The sequence below is a fragment of the Homo sapiens genome, chromosome 1, assembly GCF_000001405.40.
Source record: "Homo sapiens chromosome 1, GRCh38.p14 Primary Assembly".
Taxonomy (NCBI): domain Eukaryota; kingdom Metazoa; phylum Chordata; class Mammalia; order Primates; family Hominidae; genus Homo; species Homo sapiens.
In genome coordinates, this window is record NC_000001.11 from 35,569,811 (window position 1) to 35,596,073 (window position 26,263).

At 52.0% G+C, this 26,263-nt stretch overlaps 1 protein-coding gene and 1 long non-coding RNA gene across 6 annotated transcripts, besides 10 other annotated features; one reads left to right on the forward strand and one right to left on the reverse strand.

Moving 5' to 3' along the window:
* On the reverse strand, nt 1-8,052 carry TFAP2E-AS1 (TFAP2E antisense RNA 1). 4 transcript variants are annotated; one of them, NR_183385.1, is made up of 3 exons: nt 7,512-8,052; nt 4,653-4,888; nt 1-109 (listed from the first exon to the last, which is right to left on the reverse strand). It is a non-coding gene; the product is annotated as a TFAP2E antisense RNA 1 (long non-coding RNA). The 4 variants fall into 4 exon arrangements; NR_183383.1 differs by having other exon boundaries at nt 4,550-4,888; NR_183387.1 differs by having other exon boundaries at nt 4,550-4,888; nt 6,856-8,052.
* Nucleotides 407-508: a silencer, noted in NCBI's record as "fragment chr1:36035818-36035919 (GRCh37/hg19 assembly coordinates)". NCBI's record gives its function as "represses an EF-1alpha promoter that drives an FKBP-Casp9 reporter gene in an ReSE screen in phorbol 12-myristate 13-acetate-treated (for megakaryocytic differentiation) K562 erythroleukemia cells {active_cell/tissue: K562(+PMA)}" and the evidence as "EXISTENCE:reporter gene assay evidence [ECO:0000049][PMID:32094911]".
* Nucleotides 3,468-3,967: an enhancer, noted in NCBI's record as "H3K4me1 hESC enhancer chr1:36038879-36039378 (GRCh37/hg19 assembly coordinates)". NCBI's record gives its function as "activates a minimal SCP1, AML or CMV promoter by ChIP-STARR-seq in naive H9 embryonic stem cells {active_cell/tissue: H9 hESC(naive)}" and the evidence as "EXISTENCE:reporter gene assay evidence [ECO:0000049][PMID:30033119]".
* TFAP2E (transcription factor AP-2 epsilon) lies at nt 3,504-25,781 on the forward strand. Of its 2 annotated transcripts, none has more exons than XM_017001139.3 (7): nt 3,504-3,794; nt 4,117-4,599; nt 5,139-5,190; nt 18,520-18,742; nt 20,120-20,238; nt 20,824-20,965; nt 24,588-25,781. In XM_017001139.3, the coding sequence occupies exons 1-7, from the start codon at nt 3,768-3,770 to the stop codon at nt 24,610-24,612; spliced, it is 1,071 nt and encodes a 356-aa protein (XP_016856628.1). In that variant the 5' UTR covers nt 3,504-3,767; the 3' UTR covers nt 24,613-25,781. The 2 variants fall into 2 exon arrangements, with proteins under 2 accessions (XP_016856628.1, NP_848643.2); NM_178548.4 differs by having other exon boundaries at nt 24,584-25,518.
* Nucleotides 4,209-4,955: an enhancer, noted in NCBI's record as "H3K27ac-H3K4me1 hESC enhancer chr1:36039620-36040366 (GRCh37/hg19 assembly coordinates)". NCBI's record gives its function as "activates a minimal SCP1, AML or CMV promoter by ChIP-STARR-seq in naive H9 embryonic stem cells {active_cell/tissue: H9 hESC(naive)}" and the evidence as "EXISTENCE:reporter gene assay evidence [ECO:0000049][PMID:30033119]".
* Nucleotides 6,653-7,505: an enhancer, noted in NCBI's record as "H3K27ac-H3K4me1 hESC enhancer chr1:36042064-36042916 (GRCh37/hg19 assembly coordinates)". NCBI's record gives its function as "activates a minimal SCP1, AML or CMV promoter by ChIP-STARR-seq in naive H9 embryonic stem cells {active_cell/tissue: H9 hESC(naive)}" and the evidence as "EXISTENCE:reporter gene assay evidence [ECO:0000049][PMID:30033119]".
* Nucleotides 7,506-8,358: an enhancer, noted in NCBI's record as "H3K27ac-H3K4me1 hESC enhancer chr1:36042917-36043769 (GRCh37/hg19 assembly coordinates)". NCBI's record gives its function as "activates a minimal SCP1, AML or CMV promoter by ChIP-STARR-seq in naive H9 embryonic stem cells {active_cell/tissue: H9 hESC(naive)}" and the evidence as "EXISTENCE:reporter gene assay evidence [ECO:0000049][PMID:30033119]".
* Nucleotides 7,611-7,700: an enhancer, noted in NCBI's record as "active region_733". NCBI's record gives its function as "activates an Ori minimal core promoter by ATAC-STARR-seq in GM12878 lymphoblastoid cells {active_cell/tissue: GM12878}" and the evidence as "EXISTENCE:reporter gene assay evidence [ECO:0000049][PMID:35858748]".
* Nucleotides 7,881-7,950: an enhancer, noted in NCBI's record as "active region_734". NCBI's record gives its function as "activates an Ori minimal core promoter by ATAC-STARR-seq in GM12878 lymphoblastoid cells {active_cell/tissue: GM12878}" and the evidence as "EXISTENCE:reporter gene assay evidence [ECO:0000049][PMID:35858748]".
* Nucleotides 7,961-8,130: an enhancer, noted in NCBI's record as "active region_735". NCBI's record gives its function as "activates an Ori minimal core promoter by ATAC-STARR-seq in GM12878 lymphoblastoid cells {active_cell/tissue: GM12878}" and the evidence as "EXISTENCE:reporter gene assay evidence [ECO:0000049][PMID:35858748]".
* Nucleotides 20,458-20,959: an enhancer, noted in NCBI's record as "H3K4me1 hESC enhancer chr1:36055869-36056370 (GRCh37/hg19 assembly coordinates)". NCBI's record gives its function as "activates a minimal SCP1, AML or CMV promoter by ChIP-STARR-seq in naive H9 embryonic stem cells {active_cell/tissue: H9 hESC(naive)}" and the evidence as "EXISTENCE:reporter gene assay evidence [ECO:0000049][PMID:30033119]".
* Nucleotides 20,960-21,459: an enhancer, noted in NCBI's record as "H3K4me1 hESC enhancer chr1:36056371-36056870 (GRCh37/hg19 assembly coordinates)". NCBI's record gives its function as "activates a minimal SCP1, AML or CMV promoter by ChIP-STARR-seq in naive H9 embryonic stem cells {active_cell/tissue: H9 hESC(naive)}" and the evidence as "EXISTENCE:reporter gene assay evidence [ECO:0000049][PMID:30033119]".
* Nucleotides 25,782-26,263: the final 482 nt, after the last annotated feature.

The window sequence follows — 26,263 nt, forward strand, 5'->3', positions numbered from 1 at the left end:
TGTGTTTATCATTTACAGTATTTAATAAGCATTCATTGAGTTCCTGCCATGCCCCAAGCACAGCGCTAGATACATTTTCTGTTTCTCCTTTAATCTTGTGAAGCAGTTCCTGAAAGAGGAAAAGTAAGTTAGTCACAACTGCAGAGTCTGGAATGCTCATTAGAATGTTTAAACTTTTTTTCCCCCGAAGATGGGTCATGGGGAGCCCTAGGAAAGTTTTCAGTAGGGAGGTAACATGGTCCAGTCACTCTTGTGGAAGTTGGAAATTGATCAGAAGAGATATGAATAAAGTCAGGAGACCAGTTAGAGAATTGTTGCAATGGCCTAGATAGTGGTTCTTAAACTTTAATGTGCCTCTGAGTCACCTTAAGGACTTATTAATAACACAGGTTGCTGGGCTCCACCCCCAGAGTTATTGACTCAGAAGGTCATGAGTGGGATCCAAGAATTGGGACTTCTAGCAAGCTCCCAGATATTGTTGGTGATGCTGGTCCAGGAACCACTCTTTGGCTGTGTTGCCCAGGCTGGTCTCAAACTCCTGGGCTCAAGGGACCACACTTTGAGAGCCACTGATCTATGAGTAAGAGTAAGGTAGTTTAAGGTGCTGAGACAGGGTGCCATGTGCCCTCTGGGATACCTGCCTCAATTCTCCACCACATACCTTCTGTGGGTGGATGTTTAAGGGTTAGAAATGGCAACACTCCATAAGGATTAGCTTGTGGGGGTTAAGGAAAGGACCTACGCTCTTCTGGGATGACTAGCAAGTTTTGAACTTGAAAAAGGGTGGTGTCATTTATGAAACTACAGAGCAAAGGAGAAGCAGGTTGGGGTTGGTGCTGGGGATAGAGGAGATGTTGAGTTCAGTGTTGGACTTGGAAAATTTCAGACAGCTGCAATGAGATGTCTGGAGAAAATACGCAGCTGGCAGCTGTGTCTATGGGTCTGGATCTCTCACTAGTGATTCAGGCCAGAGATAACACAGTTGGGAGATAACAGTAGACAGGTAGTCATTAAAGACTTGGGCCGGGCGTGGTGACTCATGCCTGTAATCCCAGCACTTTGGGAGGCTGAGGCGAGTGTTCACTTGAAGTCAGGAGTTCGAGATCAGCCTGGCTGACATGATGAAACCCTGTCTCTAGTAAAAATACAAAAGTTAGCCGGGCGTGGTGGTGGGCCCCTGTAATCCCAGTTACTCAGGAAACTGAGACATGAGAATCGCTTGAACCCGGGAGGTGGAGGTTGCAGTGAGCCGAGATTGTGCCACTGCACTCCAGCCCAAGCAACAGAGTGAGACTCTGTTATAAAAAAAAAAAAAAAAAAGACTTGAGAGGGGATGAGCTCACTCATGAAGAGTGCAGGAAGAAAAAGAAGCTTCTCTGCTCTGAGAAAGAATTACCGACATTAAGCATGTAGGTGAAAAGAGAAACAGAAAAGAAGACAGAAATGGTCGGAGTAGGACAATGAGGCAAAAAGGGGCTATCAAAGGTGTAGGAAGTAGATTGAGAAAACCCAAGGAAGCCACAGACAGGCAGCACATCCCGCCACTCTGGCCTTCCCAAGCTGCTGGAGAGAGCAGGGGCATCCCCGCAGCTGGGCACAGGCATCATCTCCTTTGCGGCTCCTAGACTTCTCCCAGAGGAGTTCATCAATTTCTATTCACGCACTGACACCTGTCCTGGAGCTTGACTTCTGATGCCCTGTGGCTGGGGTTGAGGGAGGGAGGAACAGGGCATTGCCACAGACTCCCTCATATATAGATACACACAAACACAATCCTGATCTCTGACCCATCTCGAGCAGGAAAGTTGCAAAGCTTCCCAATTCCGCTTCATCCTCTGGAACCTCGCTGGCGGTTCCAGACTTCAGAAAGTTCTTAATGATGAATCCTTGGCTTCTAGCCTCCTTCTTTCCCCACCACTCCCCAGGCTGAGATCATCCAGCCCTGAGCTCTGCACCTGCCATGTGCCTTCTGGGATACCCACTTGGAACCATATATTCCATGAGTTAATGGTGTCACTATCACCTCCTCTTCTATATCAATAATTTTACCTTAATCTTCTCATTTACTACTTCACTAAAAAGGGACCTAAAAAAACAACTAGTCTTCTCTGCCTTCCCCTACTTTTTTATTGGTGTTGTCGAAGTTGCAGAAACTGAGATCACAGAGGAAACGGGATGTAGCTAGGATCACACAGTTAGGCAGAGTCAGGACTAAATCCAAGCCCCTGAGTCTGAGGCAGTAGAGAATAGTGATTCTGAGCAGAGAGGGGCCAGGGGCAGATCACCCCAGCTCTGCCACTTAGCTGCTTGACCTTGGGCAAGCCATTTAACCTCTCCATGCCTCACCCCTCCCCTGAAAATGGGGATGATATGGGTATCTCTTTCATAGAGCTGCTGTGAGGGTTAAAGAACCCAATATTCGTGAAGCACTTTGCACAGAGGCTGGCACATTCTGTAATAAGTCTGCTGTGATTATTTCTACTTTGCCCTGGTCTGCACATCTTGCTTTTAAAAAACATCTTTCTTCTGCTTTCTTAATTCCTGTTCTCCTTAGCATTCCTCTCATTTGTCCATCTTTAATCCCTGTCTCTGCTTGTCAGGAGGGGAGGGTTGGGTTTGGGGAGAAAGAGAGAGTGACTACAGAGACTGGAACTTGCTTGACAGCCAGGGAGTGCCTGCCATGGTAACACAGGAACATGTAGCCTGCGCATGTTAGTGTAACAATCACACGGCATCCATGCTAGTCAGTTACACACAGTCACTCAACAGTCTCTGGGTATCTCATGCCCACACTCAATCAGCCCAGGACCCTGTGGCTTCAGAAATATCTTGGCCCCTTGTCAGGTGGAGCTCATACCCAAACCCATCCCAGGCAAGTCTCTCTCTCTGTCTGGCCAGCTTCTGTCTCCAACTCCCTCAGAGCCTGGCTTGGCTTGGAAGTTTTCAGCCCAGGAAGCCTGAGAGCGAAGTGGGCACCTTCGAGGGATTTTGATCCAGAACCATTCAGGAAAGACTGTGATGGTAGACCCCCTAAACACACGCACTGACACTGTGTGCGCATGAGCAGATAGGCTGGAGTCTTCAGCTCACAAACTTCTTCCACGTTCCCGATTACCCACCTCATCCAAAGTCTCTTGAGGTGCTTAGAGAAAGGATTGATACCTATTTTACCGAGGAAGCTGAGGCCAGCGAAGAATAGTGCTTTGCTTAAAGGCAAGGATGTGATAGAGCCAGGCAAATGTAGGGCCCTTGCGTCCCAGCCTCGAATATTTCTGTTTCACTGCAGCTGCGAGCTGCGAGCCCAGAAGGCGGCTCTGATCAATGTGGGCTGAATTCACGCCCCCTACCCACCCTACCCGATCCCGCCAAAGCCACTGCCTCCCCTGTGGCAGCCGCTGGGGAAAAGGGAGAGAACTGCCATAGCTTGTCTCTTTAATGCGCGCCCCCGGAGGCCCGGCGCGCCCCCGCCACTATAACTGGAGTGCATGGAGCAGGCTACGCTCAGAGGAGGAAGGGCGGGCGCTGGGCACCCGTTGACCGACTTTTCCAAGTGCGATCAGTGCCCGTCCGTCCTGCCTCCATGGACCCGCCCGGGAACGGCCACCGCTGAGGACCCCACGCCCACTAGGATCCCGGCTGGGTCGCACCCAGCTACCGCACCGTGACCTCCGCGGGCTGTGCCGGCTCCCGGCGCCTCTGCCCGCAGCGCTCGCCGTCGGGCTAGGGCTCCGCCGCCGCCACGCCTCGCGCCCGGCACTCACCGCCCCATGCTGGTGCACACCTACTCCGCCATGGTGAGTAGTCTCGGGCCCGGGACATATTCGGCCGGGGGATCGGGGCGCCTGAGTGCTGGACTTTCCAACCCTCCTGTCCCGCGCTAACGAAATCTCGGAGGGAGGGGGCCGCAGGGACTTCGCCAGCTGAGAACGCGATGCGCAAGTGACCGCTGTCCCCAGCCTGAGGCTCCTGCGCCCGCGGGTGGCTCGGAAATAAACCTCGGGCCCCAAGAAACGGGAGGGACTGCAGCTGAACCCTCCCGAGCTGAGGAGGATCCTTTCAGGCTGGGGTCCTTTCAGCTGCCAGTGGGTCACCTAAGGCACCCCTCTCCTTCCCCAGGAGCGCCCCGACGGGCTGGGAGCAGCTGCCGGCGGGGCCCGCCTGTCGTCTCTGCCCCAGGCGGCCTACGGGCCGGCGCCCCCGCTCTGCCACACGCCGGCCGCCACAGCTGCCGCCGAATTCCAGCCGCCCTACTTCCCGCCGCCCTACCCGCAGCCACCGCTGCCCTACGGTCAGGCGCCCGACGCCGCCGCAGCCTTTCCCCACCTGGCAGGGGACCCATATGGCGGCCTGGCGCCCCTGGCGCAGCCGCAGCCTCCTCAGGCCGCCTGGGCCGCGCCCCGCGCAGCCGCCCGCGCCCACGAGGAGCCTCCCGGCCTGCTGGCACCGCCCGCCCGCGCCCTGGGCCTTGACCCGCGCCGTGACTATGCCACTGCCGTGCCCCGGCTCCTGCACGGCCTGGCCGACGGCGCGCACGGCCTGGCAGACGCACCTCTCGGCCTTCCGGGGCTGGCGGCGGCCCCCGGTCTGGAGGACCTGCAGGTGAGACCCGAGGGATCCGGGATGGGTCGGGACTGGCCGCGGTGGTTTACTACCATGGCTGGAGGCAGAAGGTGACAAATGCAGGAAGCCGACTTTTCTCCCAGCTCGCCACATCTCACTGGTGACTCCGAGGATGTGTCCCACCTCCTGGGTTAGACGTTGCCTGGCCATCAAGGCTGCCTGGCACTGAGTCCGCCAGCAGTGCGTGGGTGGCAGCAACCCTCGGCAGGGACCGAATCACTTCTTTTCTCCCCGCTGCCACGTGTGGCATCCATGGGGCAGCCTGCACCTGGGGCGAAGAGAAGCATAATAGTTACCAGTGTAAGATTCAAAATTCCCTTTTTGCACTGCACAGTGAGATGCCCAGGGCTCCAGCTCAGTGCCTGGACATAGCGATTCCTGGGCCTGCCCGTCGCCGCCCCAAGCGAAGCTGGTGCGCCTTGGGCGGAGCAGACAGAGACCCTGGGTGGCAGGGGCTTGGGAAGACATGGGCGGCTAGGGCTTTATGCGCCCTCACCGCTGCCCTCTGCTATTTGCAGGCAATGGACGAGCCGGGAATGAGCCTCCTAGACCAGTCCGTGATCAAGAAAGGTAAGGAATGGTCTGTCAGGGCAGAGCCCGGCGAGATGGTGCAGGCCCTTGGTGCACAGATCCATTTTCTTCACCGGCCGTGCCTCCTGTGTGTCGCCAGGCTGGGTGTCCACCAGGCACTCTTCCTGGCCCAGCCAGATGTTAGGCAGACGTGCGGGCTTGGTGAGTTTGCCCAGCACCCTGTGGCCTGGGGTGGGCCTCAGCGGATCAGCATTCACTGGGCTGCAGCACTGGGAGCCTGGCCTCTCCCCGCCGAGGGGGAGGGCACTCTTGTGGATCTGGAGTTGATTTGCAGAACGAGTTAAACCACTTCCCTGTTTCCCTAAGAGATGGGAATGGAAGTGCTGTTCCCACGGAGTTGGGGAAATGATTTTCACTTTACAGTGCCTTAGCATTTCGGTGCCTGGCGGGCACTTTCTTCCTCTTCCTTCCAGGCAGGGCCTTGGAGGCCTCTGGGGGAATTTTCTTTCTGTGGGAGTCTCTTGCGGCATTTAGACTTAGGGGAGCTTGTGTGTGAGTACTGTGTGTTAGGCTGTGTGCACCTGAGTCAGGGCCCACCTGCTCCTGGGTGTCTGTGTCCATGTGAGTTCAGGGTCCTGTGCATGTCTGAAATGTTCCCTTCATGGGTGTCTTAGTATTTCTTGGAGTGTGAGTGTGTCTGTTTCTGTGAATGTGTTTGTGAGGTGTGTCTCTGTATGTTGGTGTGCATTTCTCTGCATTTGGGGGATGTACACATTTCTCAATATGTACAGTATCTCTGTTGTGTCCTGCACTTTGTTCTTTGGTATCTGAGGATTTCCAAGCATGCGCGGGCCCTCTCTGTGTATATATAGGAGTATTTATGTGACTCCTGGCATTAGTAAAATCCAGGGACACGGGATCCACCTTTTCTGGCCTGAGGACCAAGTACTGGCCATGACAGGGGAAGGTGAGAGACGACAAAAACAGAGAGACAGCCAGAGAGGAGCAGAGAGTCAGAGGGGCCCAGGCATTGGGTAGCAGCCTCTTTACATTTGGGGCAGGTGCCCGAAAGAATTCAGAGGTGCACATGAGCCTGAGGTGCCCCAGGCAGGCACTGCTCCCACAGGGTTTGGCTTGAGTTGTTTTTCAAACGAGTGAATTCAAGCCTGGGCTCTATTTGCCCTCCACTTGTTCTCAGGGGAGGCCAAGGTGGAAGTGGTGGTAGCAGGGCTGGGGCTGGACTTCCAGGAGCTGGGGCTGAGTTACCAGGAGCTGGGGGTTGGGTGGATGACTTGGAGTGTGTAGCAGGGAAGATGAGGCAACAGGGCAGGAAGTGGGTGGGGGGAGGTGGAATTGGGGCTGTGTCCTGTGTCGCTTGGAACTGGGAGTGTGGGAAAGACACTAGGAACCTGGTTGCAGCGCAGCTCTGCTGGTGGGGCTTGGTTGGCTTACTGTACAGAGCCTTTCTTGACCCCTGAAGAAAGAGATCCGTCTGCAGTGGGCAAAAGCCTGCCTGGACTTCCTGGCCACCAGAAATATGAGCATGGTGGTGGTCCCCAGTTCCCTATTCATGCTTGGGCTCAAGAGACTGGGAGTCTAGGTTCACTGACTCCCTGAGAAAGACTAAGACCCTGCATTTTAGAAAGAGGTTTGGGGATCTCTGCCCTGCGCAAGGGTAGAAGGATCAGCTGTTCCTCTGAGCACCTTAACCCGGAACCCCGGTCCGAAGCCGAGACAGGAGACTGGATGCGAGGCCCTCCCAGAGCTGGTTTCTCTCAAACAACTTCCAAAACTCCTAGATCCTAGGGGTACGCCGAAATCCCCCAAAGCAGTCCAAAGAACACAACGAGAGTCCTAACATCCCAGGTGGCGGCGCGCTGGCTCCCTGGAGCGGGGCGGGACGCGGCCGCGCGGACTCACGTGCACAACCGCGCGGGACGGGGCCACGCGGACTCACGTGCACAACCGCGGGACCCCAGCGCCAGCGGGACCCCAGCGCCAGCGGGACCCCAGCGCCAGCGGGACCCCAGCGCCAGCGGGACCCCAGCGCCAGCGGGACCCCAGCGCCAGCGGGACCCCAGCGCCAGCGGGTCTGTGGCCCAGTGGAGCGAGTGGAGCGCTGGCGACCTGAGCGGAGACTGCGCCCTGGACGCCCCAGCCTAGACGTCAAGTTACAGCCCGCGCAGCAGCAGCAAAGGGGAAGGGGCAGGAGCCGGGCACAGTTGGATCCGGAGGTCGTGACCCAGGGGAAAGCGTGGGCGGTCGACCCAGGGCAGCTGCGGCGGCGAGGCAGGTGGGCTCCTTGCTCCCTGGAGCCGCCCCTCCCCACACCTGCCCTCGGCGCCCCCAGCAGTTTTCACCTTGGCCCTCCGCGGTCACTGCGGGATTCGGCGTTGCCGCCAGCCCAGTGGGGAGTGAATTAGCGCCCTCCTTCGTCCTCGGCCCTTCCGACGGCACGAGGAACTCCTGTCCTGCCCCACAGACCTTCGGCCTCCGCCGAGTGCGGTACTGGAGCCTGCCCCGCCAGGGCCCTGGAATCAGAGAAAGTCGCTCTTTGGCCACCTGAAGCGTCGGATCCCTACAGTGCCTCCCAGCCTGGGCGGGAGCGGCGGCTGCGTCGCTGAAGGTTGGGGTCCTTGGTGCGAAAGGGAGGCAGCTGCAGCCTCAGCCCCACCCCAGAAGCGGCCTTCGCATCGCTGCGGTGGGCGTTCTCGGGCTTCGACTTCGCCAGCGCCGCGGGGCAGAGGCACCTGGAGCTCGCAGGGCCCAGACCTGGGTTGGAAAAGCTTCGCTGACTGCAGGCAAGCGTCCGGGAGGGGCGGCCAGGCGAAGCCCCGGCGCTTTACCACACACTTCCGGGTCCCATGCCAGTTGCATCCGCGGTATTGGGCAGGAAATGGCAGGGCTGAGGCCGACCCTAGGAGTATAAGGGAGCCCTCCATTTCCTGCCCACATTTGTCACCTCCAGTTTTGCAACCTATCCCAGACACACAGAAAGCAAGCAGGACTGGTGGGGAGACGGAGCTTAACAGGAATATTTTCCAGCAGTGAGCAGGGGCTGTATGGGACGCGGGAGGAGCTCAGAGGAGGCGCGGAGAGTGCCCGAGGTTGGGTGAGTGCCTAGAGGGGAGATAGTTGAACCGGGTTCAAGAGGTGCTTAGTGGGTGTTTGTTGAATGAATGAGTGATGGGCTTTGAAGTCTGAGTGCATTGAAAGAGGGGGTGTGTAAAAAGGGCTCCTTTCATCACACAGGACACAGCATATGCAAATCCTCTCCCTGTGGAAAAGCCAGACAGGTTAAAAAGGTTACAAACAAATTAGCCGGGCATGGTGGTGCGCGTCTGTAGTCCCAGCTACTAGGGAGGCTGAGCCAGGGGAATCGCTTGAACCCGGGAGGCGGAGATTGCAGTGAGCCAAGATCGCGCCACTGCACTCCAGCCTGGAAACAGAGCGAGACTCCGTCTCGGAAAAAAAAAAAAAAAGTTACAAACCGTGTGTGGGTTTCAGGTTATACAATCAGAGCTGGAGGGGAGTGGTCAAGGATGAGAACTGAGATGGATCCCTCGTTCCCTCTGGAGGAGAGTGGGTGGTTGCCTACTTGGGGGTGGGGAATCCCTCTCCACGGGCTCAGCTGTCCAATCTCAGGGGATCTCTAGGACAGGAGCTGATGTAAACAGTCGCCCTATTCCTTGCTGTCTTTGGCCCTGGAGAAGGAGGAGGGAGCTGGGGAGGGTCTCCACTTCCCAGACAATCTCTAAGCAGCCAGGACATGGGTGAGATGAGTGAGATACTGACTTCTGGGACAGAATTTGAGAGGGTGCCAAAAAACTCAGTAATCAAGATAAATAGGCCGGGCGCAGTGGCTCACGTCTGTAATCCCAGCACTTTGGGAGGCCGGATCACTTGAGGTCAAGAGTTCGAGACCAGCCTGGCCAAGATGGTGAAACCCCATCTCTACTAAAAATACAAAAATTAGCCCAGTGTGGTGGCGCTAGCCTGTAATCCCAGCCACTCAGGAGGCTGAGGCAAGAGAATTGCTTGACCCAGGAGGCAGAGGTTGCAGTGAGCCGAGATCATGCCACTGTACTCCAGCCTGGACAACAGAGGGAGACTATCTCAAAAAAAAAAAAAAAAAAAAAAAAAAAAAAGAGGCCGGGCGGCGGTGGCTCACACCATGTGATCCCAGCACTTTGGGAGGCCGAGGCGGGTGGATCACCTGAGGTCTGGAGTTCGAGACCAGCCTGGCCAATATGGTGAAACCCCGTTTCTACTAAAAATACAAAAATTAGCTGGGTGGGGTGGCAGGCACCTGTAATCCCAGCTACTCCGGAGGCTGAGGCAGGAGAATCCCTTGAACCTGCGGGGCGGAGGTTGCAGTGAACCAAGATCACACCATTGCACTCCAGCCTGGACAACAACAGCAAAACTCTGTCTCAAAAAAAAAAAAAATCTTTTTTTTCGAGACACAGTTTTACTCTCTCGCCCAGGTTGGGGTGCAGCACCACGATCTCAGCTCACTGCAACCTCTGCCTCTCAGATTCTCGTACCTCAGCCTCCCAAGTAGCTGGGATTACAGGTACCTGTCACCACGCCCAGCTAATTTTTGTATTTTTAGTAGGGGCGTGGTTTCACCATGTTGGCCAGGCTGGTCTTGAACTCCTGACCTCAAGTGACCTGCCCGCTTCAGCCACCCAAAGTGCTGGGATTACAGGCGTGAGCCACCACGCTTGGCCTTTTTAAATGAAAATAGTGCAAAAATCCACGATAAACAAAATATCAAAAATTTACTGAACTTGCACTTCCACAACCCTTTCTCACCTGCCTCCCAGGCTACTCTCTGCCCCAGAAAGCAACTTAAAAAATGTGCAGATGGAGTTTGGACTTTACCTGAAAATGGTGGGAGCTATGGAAAACCTTGGAGCAGGGGAGTGAAGGATAGAAATTATATGTAAAAGAAACCCTGGGCCGGGCGCAGTGGCTTATGCCTGTAATCCCAGCACTTTGGGAGGCCGAGGCAGGTGGATTACCTGAGGTCAGGAGATTGAGACCAGCCTGACCAACATGGTGAAATGTCATCTCTACTAAAAATACAAAAAAAATTAGCCAGGCATGGTGGTGCACGCCTGTAGTCCCAGCTACTCCGGAGGCTGAGACAGGAAAATCGCTTGAACCCGGGAGGCGGAGGTTGCAGTGAGCCAAGATTGTGCCATTGCACTCCAGCCTGGGCAACAAGAGCAAAACTCCATCTTAAAAAAAAAGAAAGAAAGAAACCCTCTGGCAGTTGATGAGAAGGAAACTTAATCGGCAGGTCCCAGCAGGGGAGATGAGGAGACTCTAGGGAGGGCATTTGCACATGCTGTGCCCCAGTGTGGGCCAGGGAGCAGGTCACTACTCCTCCCGTCTACCTTCCTCTTGCTCCAACCCCTTCAAGCTTTGGACCAGTGGTACCCTAAGTGTAGTCCAAGGAACCACATGCATCAGGACCCCCAGGGGGTGCTTGTTAAAAATGCAAATTTTGGCCAGGTGCAGTGGCTCACACCTGTAATCCCAGCACTTTGGGAGGCCGAGGCGGGTGGATCACGAGGTCAGGAGATCGAGACCATCCTGGCAAACACGGTGAAACCCCATCTCTACTAAAAAAACAAAAACAAACCAAAAAAAACATTAGCTGGGCGTGGTGGCGGGCGCCTGTAGTCCCAGCTACTCGGGAGGCTGAGGCAGGAGAATGGCGTGAACCCGGGAGGCGGAGCTTGCAGTGAGCTGAGATTGCGCCACTGCACCCCAGCCTGGGCGACAGAGCGAGACTCTGCCTCAAAAAAAAAAAAGCAAATTTCTTGGGCACCACCCCACATTGACTGCATGAGAACCCCTGGAAGTATGGCCCTGGAACTTGCATTTTTTAACGATTTTTTGAGGTAAAATTTACATACCTAAAATTTACACATTGTAAGAATATAATTTGATGATTTTTAGTAAATGTAGAGTTGTGTAACCATTACCACAAAAAAATCCATTTTGAGGCATTTCTGCCATCCCCAGAAGTTCCCATTTGTAGCTACTCTCCATTCTCACCCCAAGCCTTAGGCCACCACTGATCTGCTTTCTGTCCATAAATTTGCATATTCTGGACATGTTCTATAAATAGAATATATAAATATGCAGACTTTTGCATCAAGCGTCTTTTGCTTAGCATAATATTTTTGAGGCTCGCCCCAAACATTATGCTAAGTAAAAGAAACAGCAATAAAAAGAAACAAACTATTATCAGCAGTTTGTTTCTTTTTATTGCTTCATAGTATGCCATTGTACGGGTGTAACATATTTTGTTTATCCATTGGTCAGTTGACGGGCACTTGGGTTGTTTCCACTTTTTAGCTGTCTTAAATAATGTTGCTATGAACATTCACATACATGCCTTACTATAGAAATATATTTTTAGCGCTTTTGAGTAAACTCCTAGGAGTGCAATTGCTGGATTATATGGTCGGTTTAGGTTTAATTTTTAAGAAACTGTCAAGCTATTTTCTAAAGTGGCTGTATTATTTTGCATTCTCACCAGCAATGTGTGAGGGTTCCACTTTTCCACATCCTACACTTAGAATTGTCTTTTTTTTCTTTTTTTTTTTTTGAGATGGAGTTTCACTCTTGTTGCCCAGGCTGGAGTGCAATGAGGTGATCTCGGCTCACCGTAACCTCTGCCTCCTGGGTTCAAGTGATTCTCCTGCCTCAGCCTCCTGAGTAGCTGGGATTACAGGTGCGTGACACCACGTCCGGCTAATTTTGTTTTTTTAGTAGAGACGGGGTTTCTCCATGTTAGTCAGGCTGGTCCTGAACTCCCGACCTCAGGTGATCCACCCGCCTTGGCCTCCCAAAATGCTGGGCTTACAGGTATGAGCCACCATGCCTGGCCTTTTTTATTTATTTATTGTTTTGAGATGGATTGTCTCTCTGTCACCCAGGCTGGAGTGCAGTGGCACAATCTCGGCTCACTGCAACTTCTGCCTCCTGGGTTCAAGCAATTCTCCTGCCTCAGCCTCCCCAGTAGCTAGGATTATAGGCACGCACCACCACACCCAGCTAATTTTTGTATTTTTAGTTGAGACGGGGTTTCACCACGTTGGACAGGCTGGCTGGTCTCGAACTCCTGATCTCATGATCCATCCACCTCAGCCTCCCAAATTGCTGGGATTACAGGCATGAGCCACCGTGCCTGGCCCCTGTCTTTTTTATTATAACCATCAAGTGGTATCTCAGTATAGTTTTAATTTGCATTTCCCTAATGACTAATAATGTTAAGAACTTTTTCATGTACTTATTTAACCATTCATCTCTCATTTTTAGTGAAATGTCTATTTACATATTTGGACCATTTTCTATTTAGGTTGCTATCTTATTGTTGAGTTATAATAGTTCTTTATATAATATATTCTGAATACAGTCCTTTATCAGATATATGATTTGAAAATATTTTCTTCCAGTTTGTGGTTTATCGTTTTCTTTTCTATTTTTAAAATTTTAATTTTTTTTTTGCATTTTTAAAAATTATCTTTTTTTTTTTTTTCATAGAAACAGGGTCCCGCTATGTTGCCCAGGCTGGTCTCAAACTCCTGGCTTCCAGTGATCCTCCTGTCTTGGCCTCCCTAAGTGCTAGGGTTACAGGAGTGAGCAACTGCTCTCTTTTTTTTTTTTAATTAAAAAACTTTTTAGAGATAGGTCTCACTAAGTTGTTCAAGCTGGAGTTTGGTGGCTATTTACAGGCAAGATCATAGCACACTGCACCCTCGAACTCCTGAACTCAAGTGATCCCCCTGCCTGAGCCTCTCGAGTAACTGGGACTACATTCTCATGCTACCATACCATGCTATTTTCTTAATAATATCTTTTGAGGTGCAAAAGTTTTAGACTTTGATGAAGTCCAGTTTATCATCATTTTCTTTCTTTCTTTCTTTCTTTTTTTTTTGAGACCAGTCTCACTCTGTCGCCCAGGCTGGAGTGCAGTGGCGCTATCTCAGCTCACTGCAACTTCCGCCTCCCGGGTTCAAGCGATTCTCCTGCCTCAGCCTCCCAAGTAGCTGGGATTACAGGTGAGTGCCACCATGCTGGGCTAATTTTTGTATTTTTAGTAGAGACAGTTTCACCATGTTGGCCAAGTTGCTCTTAAACTCCTGACCTCAGGTGATCTGCCCGCTTCAGCCTCCCAAAGTGCTGGGATTCCAGGAGTCAGCCACCACACCTGGCCTATCATTTTCTTTTATGGGCCTTGCTTTTGGTGTTGTATCTAGGAACTCTTTGCTCAACCTGAGGTCACGAAGATTTTTCTCCTAAGTTTTCTGTTGTTGTTGTTGTTGTTATTTGTATTTTTAGTAGAGATGGGGTTTTCCCATGTTGTCCAGGCTGGTCTCAAACTCCTGACCTCAAATGATCCACCCGCCTTGCCTTCCAAAGTGGTAGGATTACAGGTGTAAGCCAGGACGCCTGGCCTTCCATGTTTTCTTCTAGAAAAAACTTGCAACTTTAACAAGGCTTCTTGGAGAGTCTGTTGCACACTTGCCTAGGTTCAGAAGTCAGACCATATCTACCACCTGCGGACAGAGTGCCTTGTCTGACAGGTTGAATAACCGGGAGCTCTTGTGTCTGCAGGAGTGTGTGTGTGTGTGTGTGTGTGTGTGTGTGTGTGTGTGAATGGCTTCTGCATATGTGACCAGCAGGACACCATTAGATCACTTCAGCTTCAGGAGTCACCACAGGGAATCCTGTTCTGTGTGTGTGGGAGACAAACTTTAGTGTCTCTGCTTTGCCCTGTGTGCTAGTTTAATTCCTACCTCCACCACTGCCCTTCTGTGACCGACCTGCTTCCCTAACCATGGATTCCATCCCTCTTGCCATTTTCAAGGGAAGAAGCTCTGAGAAAAAAAGGGACAGGTGGGGGAAGCAGCAAGGTCAGTCACTCATATACACAAACACATGAGCAATGTCATCTCTGCCCTTATATCTAGCAGCACCTATGTTTGCATAAATCTGGCATCAACAGGAGAAAGCACTTGCAAATATCCATATCTAGGCTACCACATTCCTCCATACTCCAGCTCATCCTCATTGCTGTATTTATCACAAGGGCATACAGTTCTTGTATACAGTCATCCTTTTTTATTTTTTTTGAGATGGAGTTTCGCTCTGTCGTCCAGGCTGGAGTGCAGTGGTGCAATCATAGCTCACTGCAGCCTCAAACTGGGCTCAGTCATTCTGTGGCCTCAGCCTTCCGAGCAGCTGGGACTATGGGCACATGCCACCATGCCTGGCTAACTTAAAAAAATTTTTTTTTGTAGAGATGAGGTCTCACTATGTTGCCCAGGCTGGTCTCAAACTTCTGGGCTCAAGTGATCCTCCTGCCTCAGTTTCCCAAAGTGTTGGGATTACAGGTGTGAGTTACCATGCTCAGCCAGCCTGGGCCCTAGGTTTTAATAGCAGTTGGATGGAGAAGGCTGCTCATCCTTTTTCTCCAACCCCTACTTCTGGTGAGGGGTGATGGGAGGGAAGACAGTTACTTTGCCCTTCTTTTTATTTTTAATTTATCAATTTTTTGTTTTTGTTTTTGTTTTTGTTTTTGAGACAGGGTCTCACTGTGCCACCCAGGCTGGCATGGTCAGCTCACTGCAACCTCTGCCTCTTGGGCTCAAGCAATCCTCCTACCTCAGCCTCCAGAGTAGCTGGGACTGCAGGCATGTGCAATCACGCCGGGCTAATTTTTGTATTTTTTGTAGAGACAAGGTCTCATTGTATTGCCCAGGCTGGTCTTGAACTCCTGGGCTCAATCCTCCCACCTCGGCCTCCCAAAGTGCTGGGATTACAGGTGTGAGCCACCGTGCCTGGCCTCATTTGTAGTTTTATTTGTTTGAAGTCAAGCTCGAGGTATAATTTTTTTATACATACAGTATAGTTCAGTTCGGGTTCCCAGAGCCCTTGCATCATTAGCTTATTTCATATTCACTCATGGCCACCTGTGCCAAGACCCTGCCCTCCACACACTCATGCTTGGTAGGGAAGACACCCATGGAAACAGACCAGGAAGGTTCAGTGCGGTAAGGCCAGGGATGGGGGTGAGAGGGAGCTGGGGGGCAGGGGAGAGAAGCTCTGCACAGGGGTTGGTGCCTAAACTCAGTAGAGTGGAGCAGGACCCCTGAGAACCGAAGGAGCACTGTGGGGCTCAAAGAGCTCACACCCTGGGAGTCACTACATCCCAGGAGGCACTTCACACTTGTTCCATTTGGCCTGTGCTGGGTTTTTAAATCTTTGAATCATTGCCAATGCTTAAAACTCCAGAGATTTCACAGAAAAATCCAGAATCCTAGTTTCAAAAATCAGCAAAACAAAACAAAAACACAAACAAACCAGGAGCTTTGTGTCTTGCTTGGCGGGACTTTGCATAAGGTGCCCCTCTAGCCTGCCAACCTCCCCCACAGCCCACTTACTATGTTACCTGTTGAGCCCCTCCTCCCTTGAAGCCTGGAGCTTTGCTGTCCACCAAGTGGCCACTATAGCCACGAGTGGCTCTTGAGCACCCAAAATGTGACTAGTCTGAATTGAGATGCGCTTAAGCATAAAATGTCCATTGGATTTTGAAGGCTAATTTCAAACAATGTAAAATATCTCACTAATAATTTTTAAAATATTGATTACATGTTGAAATGATTCTATTTTTAATATATTGGGCTAAATAAAATATACTAAATAGTAATATATTATTTACTATTATATTGATTAAAATTAACTTCACATGTTTCTTTTTACTGTTTAAAATGTGGGCCAGGCCTGGTGGCTCACCCCTTTAATTCCAGCACTTTGGGAGGCCAAGGCAGGCAGGTGGATAGCTTGAGTCCAGGAGTTCAAGACCAGTCTGGGCAACATGGTGAAACCCCATCTCTATGAAACATACAAAAATTACCCAGGCATGGTGGCACGCACCTGTAGTCCCAGCAACTTGGGAGGCTGAGGTGGGAGGATTGCTTGAGCCTGGGAGGTGGTGGTTGCAGTGAGCTGTGATTGTACCACTGTACTCCAGCCTGGGCAACAGAGCAAGACCCTGTCTCAAAAAAAAAAATGGTGGACACTAGGAAATGTAAATGTATACATGTGGCTCACATTATATTTCTCTTGGTCAGCTTGGGTCTAGAGCCTAATGGACAAATGGGGACCCAGCAAGAGGGGCAGGCAGAGCCAGAACACAAGGGAGGGTGAAGGAGGCCATTGTAACATGATGGTTAAAGCTGTGAACTCTGGAGTCAGTGCTCAGAGTTGAAGGTTCATTTCTGCCCCTTACTTGCTGTCCCACTTTAACCTCTTTGAACTTTCAGCACCTGGCACTCATTGACAGGTGAAATTATAGTTGGCACTCATTGACAGGTGACATCATTTTGTCTAGCTCTGGAGCTGGGATTTGATTCTCAGGGAACTGACCGGGCTCTGATGAGTTTTAGGCTGAGTTTTTGGCTGCAGAATGATGCATTCAGATGGAAAGATCCCTCTGGACTGGGGCAGGGTGACCAGAGCAAGGTCTGTGGAGAAATTCACATGGGAAGGGAACCTGTGTCTGTGTGCATGCAGAGGAGTGGCCACATACAAGGCACATAAAGAAATGAAAGTCGTAGGATGGGCAGGGGTGGGAGAAACAAAAAAAGAAAGCTGTAGGATCTAGTGATGGATGGGATGTGGTGATGGATGGGGTGTGGTGATGGATGGGATGTGCTGGGGGAGAGGGTTGCAGAGGGTATCACAGAGGTTTCTGGCTGGGCTGCTGGGTGGAGGTGGGGAGGTTTATCCAGAGAGGGAGAGACTAGACGTTCTGCCAGGCTACGGATCAGGCTAGCCTTTCCTACTTTTGTATTCCTCAGCCCTGGCACCATTCTTGGCATGAAAGTGCTCAGCCAATATTGCCAAGTGGCTGGAAGGCTAACAGCACCGCCTTTGAGACTGCAGTCTTGGGTTTGCTACCGGTTCTCCGTCTACCAGCTGTGTGATCTCAGGCATATTACTTCACCTCTCTGGACATCAGTCTCCTCATCTGTAAAATGGGAATAGTGATAAGTGTAGCCCCTTGTGGGTTGTTCCAAGGACTGAGTGGGTTTATATACGGGAGCACACAGCAGTGAGTGCTCAGTAGCTGTTAGTCCCAGACTCCACACCCGAGCCTCACTCCTGATGTACACACGAGGCCTTGTCTACCAAGGCTGTCACCTCCTTAAAGGAAGAAAAGGCCAAAGGGTTCCGCTAAAGAAGCAAGTGCTTCGATATTCTCCCTTCCCCTGAGGCTAAGCAGGAGGATGGAGGTTAGACTGCAGGAAGAACTTTCTTTCTCTTATAGCCAAGAATGTCTAAGTGAATTTTAGAAAATTAACTTCTGGCCGGGCACGGTGGCTCATGCCTGTAATCCCAGCACTTTGGGAGGCCGAGGCGGGTGGATCATGAGGTCAGGAGTTTGAGACCAGCCTGGCCAATATGGTGAAACCCCATCTCTACTAAAAATATAGAAATTAGCCAGGCGTGGTGGTGGGCACCTGTAGTCCCAGCTACTCAGGAGGCTGAGGCAGAAGAATCGCTTGAACCCGGGAGGCAGAGGTTGCGGTGAGCCGAGATGGTACCACTGCACTCCAGCCTGGTGACAGAGCGAGACTCCATCTCAAAAAAAAAAAAAAAAAAAAGAAAGAAAGAAAGAAAATTAACTTCTCAGATTCCTTCTCTGGTCTTCAGACAATTAGTAGATAATTAGGGAGTGTTTGGGGAGGGGGTATAGGGCCTATCTCCTGGTCTCCTTTAGCATTCGCAGAGTGACTTGGCAGGAAGAGAGGGCCAGGGCTGAAGGCATTAACAGGGCAATAACCTCCCTGTCTCCAGGATGTGGAGCCCACAGTCTCCAGGCCCCTCACCGATGCAGGGGTGAGGTGGGGTGGGAGGGCAGAGAGGAAAAACGTGGGAATCACGAATGGGAAGAGGGGATTTGGGGACTCCCTGTGATTGCCCAGCCCTGGCCTGACCCTGCTGCAGGGCCCCAGGGGTCCTGCCTCCAGCTCACACTCATATCCTTACATCCAGGTCCCTCTCTGATGGCATCCGCTAAAACACCAAGATTCCGCTGGAGCTGTTTGAGTTTAAGATAGGACCAGCCTGGTTCAGTGAGGGGGACACAGATTCAAGAGCCAGACAACTCGGAGTTCAGTCTCTGAGTTCACATCCATCAGTTGAGGGAACTTGGGCGAGTCACTTTCACCTCACTGTGGCTCAGTTTCTCCCTTCATAAAGCAAGGATACCAGACCCTCCCTTGAGTGGGGCTGTGTGCGGCAGCCACTGGCTCAGCGTTTCCCTCTTCTCCACAGTGCCCATCCCCTCCAAAGCCAGCAGCCTCTCAGCCCTCTCCTTGGCCAAAGACAGCCTGGTGGGCGGCATCACAAATCCTGGTGAGGTCTTCTGCTCCGTGCCCGGCCGGCTTTCACTGCTCAGCTCAACGTCCAAGTACAAGGTGACGGTGGGGGAGGTGCAGCGGCGACTCTCGCCTCCCGAGTGCCTCAACGCCTCCCTCCTGGGGGGTGTCCTCCGCAGGTAGGAAGGCCAGCCCACAATTCCCCGCCTGATTGGATCCCTGGCCTCTTCAGGCCTTCTCAAGGCATCAGAGAGGAGGCCAGTCTCACCTAGGCCCTCTGCCTCAGTCTCCCTGGGAGGGGAGGCCCCGGGGACTCTGGATTGTGCATGTTGTGGGGGCCGGCCCAGGTCCCTGGTGGCTGCCACATGTCTGTGGGTCTGGGGTAGGGAGGTGGGCAGAGAAAGAAGCCTGGGCACAGAGAAGGGATGGAGAACTCATCCACACTGGTCAGGACGAGACTGGGTCTGGGGAAGAGAGAGGGCCATCCTCACCCCCTCTTCTAGGAAATGAACCCCAGGACCCGAGGCCCATTCTGCGCGGCAGCATAGGCCCTGTGTGTTTTGGGGTGTGGAGCATGGTAGTCCATGGTTCATCTTCCTAGACCTGTGTCTCTCTCTCTCTGTGCATGTCTTTGTGCCTGGGAAGGGTATTTCTGCTTCAGGGCCATGAGCTTGGATGAGTCTGAGGATGGTGTGGACATGTGTGTGCGTGTGCATGTGTCTATAGTAGCGGATGGCCAGGAGCATGTGTTTCCATGAGTGTGAGTATCCTGTGTTTCTTCTAGTGGGATGTGTGGCCTAGGGTGTGTCCTGCTCTGTGTGTGTGTGTGTGTGTGTGTGTGTGTGTGTGTGTGTGTGTGTGTGATTGCCTGTGCATCTGGAGCTAGTCATATGGATGTTTACATATCTGTGCCACTGTGTGGGAGTGGCATGTGTGCAGTCATAGGGGTTATCTCCTTACTCCTAGCGTCTTGGAGGATCTCTGTGAGTCCCTGAGTGTCTGTACATGTGTTCCTGGGACCCTGACTTGGTGTGATCCTGTGTCTCTGTGTCCCTGGGTGTCTGAGTCTGTGTCTCTGCATGTCTGTCTCTATTGGTTCTATGTGTCTCTATTCTTTCACGTGTGTGTGTGTGTGTGTGTGAGAGAGTCACCAGGTGGCTGTGTGTGTACCTGTGTCTCCCCATGTGTCTCTCTTTCTGTATGTCACTGCGTGTCTCTACATATAGGTCTGTGTATCCCCTGGTAGGTGTGTGTGGCCCTCTGGTGTGCTAAGGTCCCCAGGATGCCCCACCCTGGCTGCCCCTGCTGTTGAGAGGATTAGAGTGAACTGAGGGGCTCCTGGAGCTGGGTGCTGGCCCCCCTGCCTCTGTCTTGGCTGCAAAACCATGGAGATTAGTTGCGCCCTTGCTGAAAGAGACCTCAGAGCATCCCCAGGACCAATCCCAAACCTCAACAGGGGCTGGTGGAGGCAACAAGGCCCTTTGGCAGCCACTTAGCTTCCATGCGTTTCTCTTGTCTTCATAGTTGTATGTCTGTCTGTCTCTGTGCATGTCAAGGGCCAAGTCCAAAAATGGGGGCCGGTGTTTGCGGGAACGGTTAGAGAAGATTGGGCTCAACCTGCCAGCTGGCCGTCGCAAGGCCGCCAATGTGACGCTGCTGACTTCGCTAGTGGAAGGTGAGTGAGGCCTGAAGGTGGGCATGGGAGTGGATGTGAGGGCAAGTGAGTTGTCTGGTGTGACTGTCTCTAATGCAGGAGGGTGTGTTTAGTGGTGTGTGTGTATCCGTGTAAGTGTTGCAGTATCTGTGTGCGTATTCTCTGTCATGTATAAGGTGTGTTTGTGATTTCTGTGTGTAGTCCTTGTACATGTGTGCATGCATGTGCAATGGAGACCTACTTGCAGTGTGCGGATGTGTATGTGGGTGTGGGTGTGGGTGTGTGGGTGTGTGTGTTGGCGGGGAGTGGCCAGTGTTTGGATGTGGTAAAGGGATGAAGGGGGTGACAGCCCCCTCCCCTGGAGGTTGGTGCCTCTGGAATACATGGTGGGCCCAGCTCCCATCTCTGAGCTCAGAGCCCAACCCTAATGGCCCCAAGGTGGGGCAATGGAATGGGGGCTGGAGCTGGGCTGGGAAGGAACATCAGAGGGGGCATCTACACAGGCAGGATGGGGCAGGATACCCCTGACCAGGGGGTCAGAGGTTCAAAGCTGTGTTCCAGGCGCAGAGGTACACCCTGCAGTAGTGACAGCTCCCCTCCCCCCAGGAGAGGCCGTGCACCTGGCCCGAGACTTCGGTTACGTCTGTGAGACGGAGTTCCCAGCCAAGGCAGCTGCCGAGTACCTGTGCCGACAGCACGCTGACCCGGGGGAGCTGCACAGCCGCAAGAGCATGCTGCTGGCTGCCAAGTGAGTGAGGGCACCCTGCACAGGCACACGTGGGTGCCATGCACAGACAGACATCATGTATGGGCACAATGGACACCACTGTGTACATGAGCAGTGGGCACACATGCGTATTTGCGCACCACTGTGTACACGAGCAGTGGGCACACACACATACGTGCGCACCACTGTGTACATCAGCAGTGAGCACACACGTATGTGTGCGCCACTGTGTACGTGAGCAGTGGGCACACACACGTACGTGCGCGCCACTGTGTACACGAGCAGTGAGCACACACACGTACCTGCGGCCCATGTGGCACCACACATGGGCACACCTAGGCTCCCTGCTTAGGCTTTCCTGGGCATATGTGTGCATGCCACCTGGGCACACTTGGGTGCCACATATGGGTATATTTGGGCATCATGTTTATCACTCAGACATACATGAACACTCTTCACAAGCTCCTGGAGCACACATAGACACTACATGTGAACATATCTGGGCTCCTGCATCAGGAACAGTGATGTCACATACTGGCTCACACAGGCTCACGCATGGGTCCTACACTCACATACACTCCCAGGACACCACCAGCCCTACTCCCCATCGCAGGTCTGAGGCTCCCTCTTCTAGCCTTGCCCATCAACCCTCTGCTCCAGTGACGTCCATCAGGCCACCAAGTCACACCTGACTGTTCTGCAAATCCCATTGTGCCTCCCTCACTACCGTTCACATGCTGCCACCTCTACTCAGGTCTTCATCTCACTCCTGGACCTTCACCCCAGAGCGTCCCTGTTTCCAACCTCCCTGCACGTGCACCCGCCCCACTGCATAAGAATCTTCAATGGTTCCCGCTGCATTGATTTTCAAACTAGGTCTGCGAGGGCACCTCAGGGCCTGTTTAACAAACTAGTATTCTATTAAGATTTAGTTTTGTTTTTGTTTTTTGAGATGGAGTTTCGCTCTTGTTTCCCAGACTGGAGTGCAGTGGCGCAATCTCAGCTCACTGCAACCTCCACCTCCTGGGTTCAAGCAATTCTCCTGTCTCAGCCTCCCGAGTAGCTGGGATCACAGGCGCCTGCCACCAGGCCCAGCTAATTTTTGGTATTTTAAGTAGAGATGGGGTTTCACCATGTTGGCCAGGCTGGTCTCGAACTCCTGGCCTCAGGTGATCCACCCGCCTTGGACTCCCAAAGTTCTGGAATTACAGGTGTGAACCACCACTCCCGGCCCCAAGATTTAGTTTTTCAGGCCAGGCAAGGTGGCTCACATCTGTAATCCCAGCACTTTTGAGAGGCTGAGGCTGGTGGATCGCTTGAGCCCAGGAATTGGAGACTAGCCTGGGCAACATGGTGAAACCCGGTCTCTAGTAAAAATACAACAGTTAGGTGTGGTGGTGCACTCCTGTAGTCCCAGCTACTTGGGAGGCTGAGGTGGGAGGATAACCTGAGCCTGGGAGGTCAAGGCTGCAGTAAGCCATGATTGCATCGCTGTACTCTAGCCTGCGTGACATAGTGAGACCCCATCTCAAAAAAAAAAAAAGGCGAAAGATTTAGTTCTTCCAAAAGAGTTCTTGTCTTAGTCCATTTGGGCTGCTATAACAAAATACCATAAACTGGGTAGCTTATAAACAACAGAAATTTTTATTTATTTATTTATTGAGACAGAATCTTGTTCTGTTGCCCAGGCCGGAGTGCAGTGGTGCAATCTCAGTGCACTGCAACCTCCAGCTCCTGGGTTCAAGCAATTCTCCTGCCTCAGCCTCCTGAGTAGCTGGGATTACAGGTGCCTGCCACCACATCTGGTTAATTTTTGTATTTTTAGTAAAGGTTTCACCATGTTGGCCAGGCTGGTCTCAAACTCCCGACCTCACATGATCCACCTGCCTTGGGCTCCCTAAGTGCTTGGATTATAGGTGTGAGCCACCACGCCCAGCCAACAAGAGACATTTATTTCTCATAGTGCTGGAGGCTGGGAAGTTCAAGGTCAAGGCAGATTCCGTGTCAGGTGAGGGCCTGCTTTCTGGCTCATAGACAGCACCTTGCTGTGTGTCCTCACATTGTAGAAGGGAGAAGGGGTTACTCTCTGGCTTCTTTTATAACAAGGGCATTAATCCCATTCATGACGGCTCCACCTCCATGACCTAATCACCTCCCAAAGTCCTCACCTCCTAATACTATCACCTAGTGGGGTAGAATTTCAACATACGAATTTTGGGGAACATAAGCATTCACACCATAGCAGTCCCACTGCAAGAAAAGACAGAGAGAGGAGGGGGATAGAGAAAGAGAGAAAGAAAGAGAGAGAGACTGAGTGCAGTGGCTTATGCCTGTAATCCCAGCACTTTGGGAAGCTGAGGTGATCAGATCGCTTGAGCCCAGGAGTTCAAGGCCAGCCTGGGCAACTTGGCGAAACCCCATCTGTACTAAAAAAAAATTAGCCAGGAGTGATGGTGCGCACCTGTAGTCCCAGCTACTCGGGAGGCTGAGGTTGAGACTGCAGTGAGCTGGGATCACACCACTGCACTCCAGCCTGGGTGACAGAGCAAGACCTTGTCTCGGAAAAAAAAGAAAAGAGAGAGATAAATCTGAGAACTACCAGTTGGTAGGCTAAAGTTCAAACTCTTTTGAGGGCCCCACAGTCTGGCCCACACAAACTCCACCCACTTCTGCCAACCCTGTCCTCACATCCTTGGGTTTGTTTCCGGCTTAGAACATCCAGTCCTCCCACCTAACACAGTCCTTCAAACTGACAACTCCACCCTCCTGCCTTTGAGGCTTTCCTCAAGTGCCCAAGGCAGAAGAGGAAGCACAGACTCCTGGGACTGCCAAATGGAGAGACCTCTGAGGCTGCTCATACTGTGGCTGGAGAAACCTAGCCAGGACGGGGCTCACCTCGTTCACTTATCAGCTCATTCATCAAGCACTTTGTGGGTCTCAGTCATGTGTAAGATACTGGCTGGCTTTCATGGTGACACAAAGATGAATGATGAGTGATTCTCTTGCCTGAGCCACACACAGGACGCACAAAGGAATGAATAATGAATGGCTGCAAACTAGAGCTAGGTTCAAATCCCAGCTCGGTCACCTTGACAGGTCATCCAACCTGTCCGAAACCAGTTTTCTTGTCCGTATGATGGGGATAATAATAGTATAGACTTGTTATGAAGATTAAGATGATGCAGACAGTGTGGTTGGCACAGCATCCAGCCTTCAATTATATTCACTGCTAGTTATTATTTCCGGCAGATTCTGGATTGTTTCCTGATAGCTTCAAAGACAAAGTTCTGTGAAGCATTGAGTGTTTGGGGTGGGAGAGGGAATCCAGGAAAGTTTCCTATATAAGGTAGTAAGTAGCTGAGCTGCACTTTGAATGAATATGGGCCAGACATCCAAAAAAGAAACATTACAGGGTGATCGACATGTGCTGTTTATTAGCTGTGTGATACTGGGCTAGTCAAATGACTTCTCTGAACCTTAGTTTCCTTTTCTGTAAAAAACAGTATGGTCATCATTTGCAGACTGTTGGGAGGGTCAGCAATTGTGTAGCTAATGTCTGTAAAATGCCTAGCATGTAGCAGGTCCTTCTCTGGGCTCAGACTTTTGTCCTCCAACCTCTGACCCTCCTTCTCGCACCAGGCAGATCTGCAAGGAGTTTGCAGACTTGATGGCTCAGGACCGCTCACCGCTGGGCAACAGCCGCCCAGCACTCATCCTGGAGCCCGGAGTACAGAGCTGCTTGACACACTTTAGCCTCATCACCCATGGCTTCGGTGGGCCTGCCATCTGTGCTGCCCTCACTGCCTTCCAGAACTATTTGCTGGAGTCACTCAAGGGGCTGGACAAGATGTTTCTAAGCAGTGTGGGCAGTGGGCATGGTGAAACCAAGGCTTCGGAGAAGGATGCCAAGCATCGGAAATAACTGCTTCTCCCACCCCATCCCTAAGGGGCTCCCAGGCCCTGAAATAGGGACTTAGCTCTTGGGGGTGGGCCTGGAAGGACTGAAAGGTGGGATTAGAGTCAGGCCAGAAAGAGAACATTCATCCAGAGATCCCAGAGTTGGGGATCTGGCTTGGAGTAAGGGAGGGTGGCCTCTCTGTGGTGGTGTGTTGGTAAGTTAAGGGCCCAGGTATTTGTCTCATGTGTGCAATTTTCTGACCTTTGATGGTTGAGAAGGGTTTGGACAGAAAATTGACATGAAAAGATCTGGCTCATGGGGCAGAGCCCTTTCCATTAGCGTGGCTGGGTGGCCGTGGGTGCTTCTAGAGGCCAAAGCCTTTGTGTTTTTCACTGGTGGCAGGAGGAAAATTGATAAATCAGAGGTGCTACTGAGGAGTTGGTGCCCCTCATTCCAGAATCTCCTACCCCCAGAAAAGGGGTGCTGGAAGGAGGCCCCAGTGGACTCTTTGTACCCTTCCTACTCTCAGAGAGAAGTGGGCAGGAGGGGTCCTCAAGGAACAAAGAAGATAAAGCACAAATCGCAGAACTTGAATCCAGGCTGCTGCTCATCATAGTCCTGTTGCTGTCTGTCCTATTTATTTATGTATGTTGTAATTAAATTTGAAATTTTAAAATGTCCAGTGCAACTTATTTATCCCAATGAGTTGGGGATTCATTTCACTGTTTTCTGGCCATACACTGATATGTCCAGCTGGACCAGGAGGGAGAGGGTGTTTTTGCTGGCAAAGGGCTGTGGGTGGGTTGGGAGGGAAGAAAGGTGTGTCAGGCACCCTGAGGTTGTCACTGGGATCTTGTATTTGTGGTTATTTTGCCCCTGCAGTTGATGTACCTCCCCATGTCCCCATCTCTCATTCTCTTAATAAAGCCTTTCATTGGATATGAAGCCCTCCCTGTCCTTCTTTAGCCCAGGCCTGGATTTGCCTCCTAAGAGGGCAATGTCACTGGGGAGAGGCAGGGCCTGGGAATTGGGCAGGGGGTAGGATTGGAAGGGGCCCCTAAGAGCATGGGAGGGAACTGGGGGCCCCTCTGTGTGAGAGGAGGTACAGATGTTGGTCTATCTGGCATGTCAGTGTGGCTATTAGTTGCTGTGCCTGTGTGTGTGTGTGTCAAGTGAATACTGTATGTGTATTCCTGTGACTTGGTGGGCTGGTGGGTGTATGTGTCAGTTTGGCTGTTACCATGCCCGTTGGTGGTGGATTTGTTACCATGCCCGTTGGTGGTGGTGTGTAGGTGTCAGTCGGAACACTGGTGACGGTGTGTGTCTATCAGGCCAACGCTCATCCAACTCTCGTCTTGAGGATTACACTCTTCAGTCATCTTTTCTGTCCTGTATCGTCAGTGTCTCCCTCTCTACAGAAT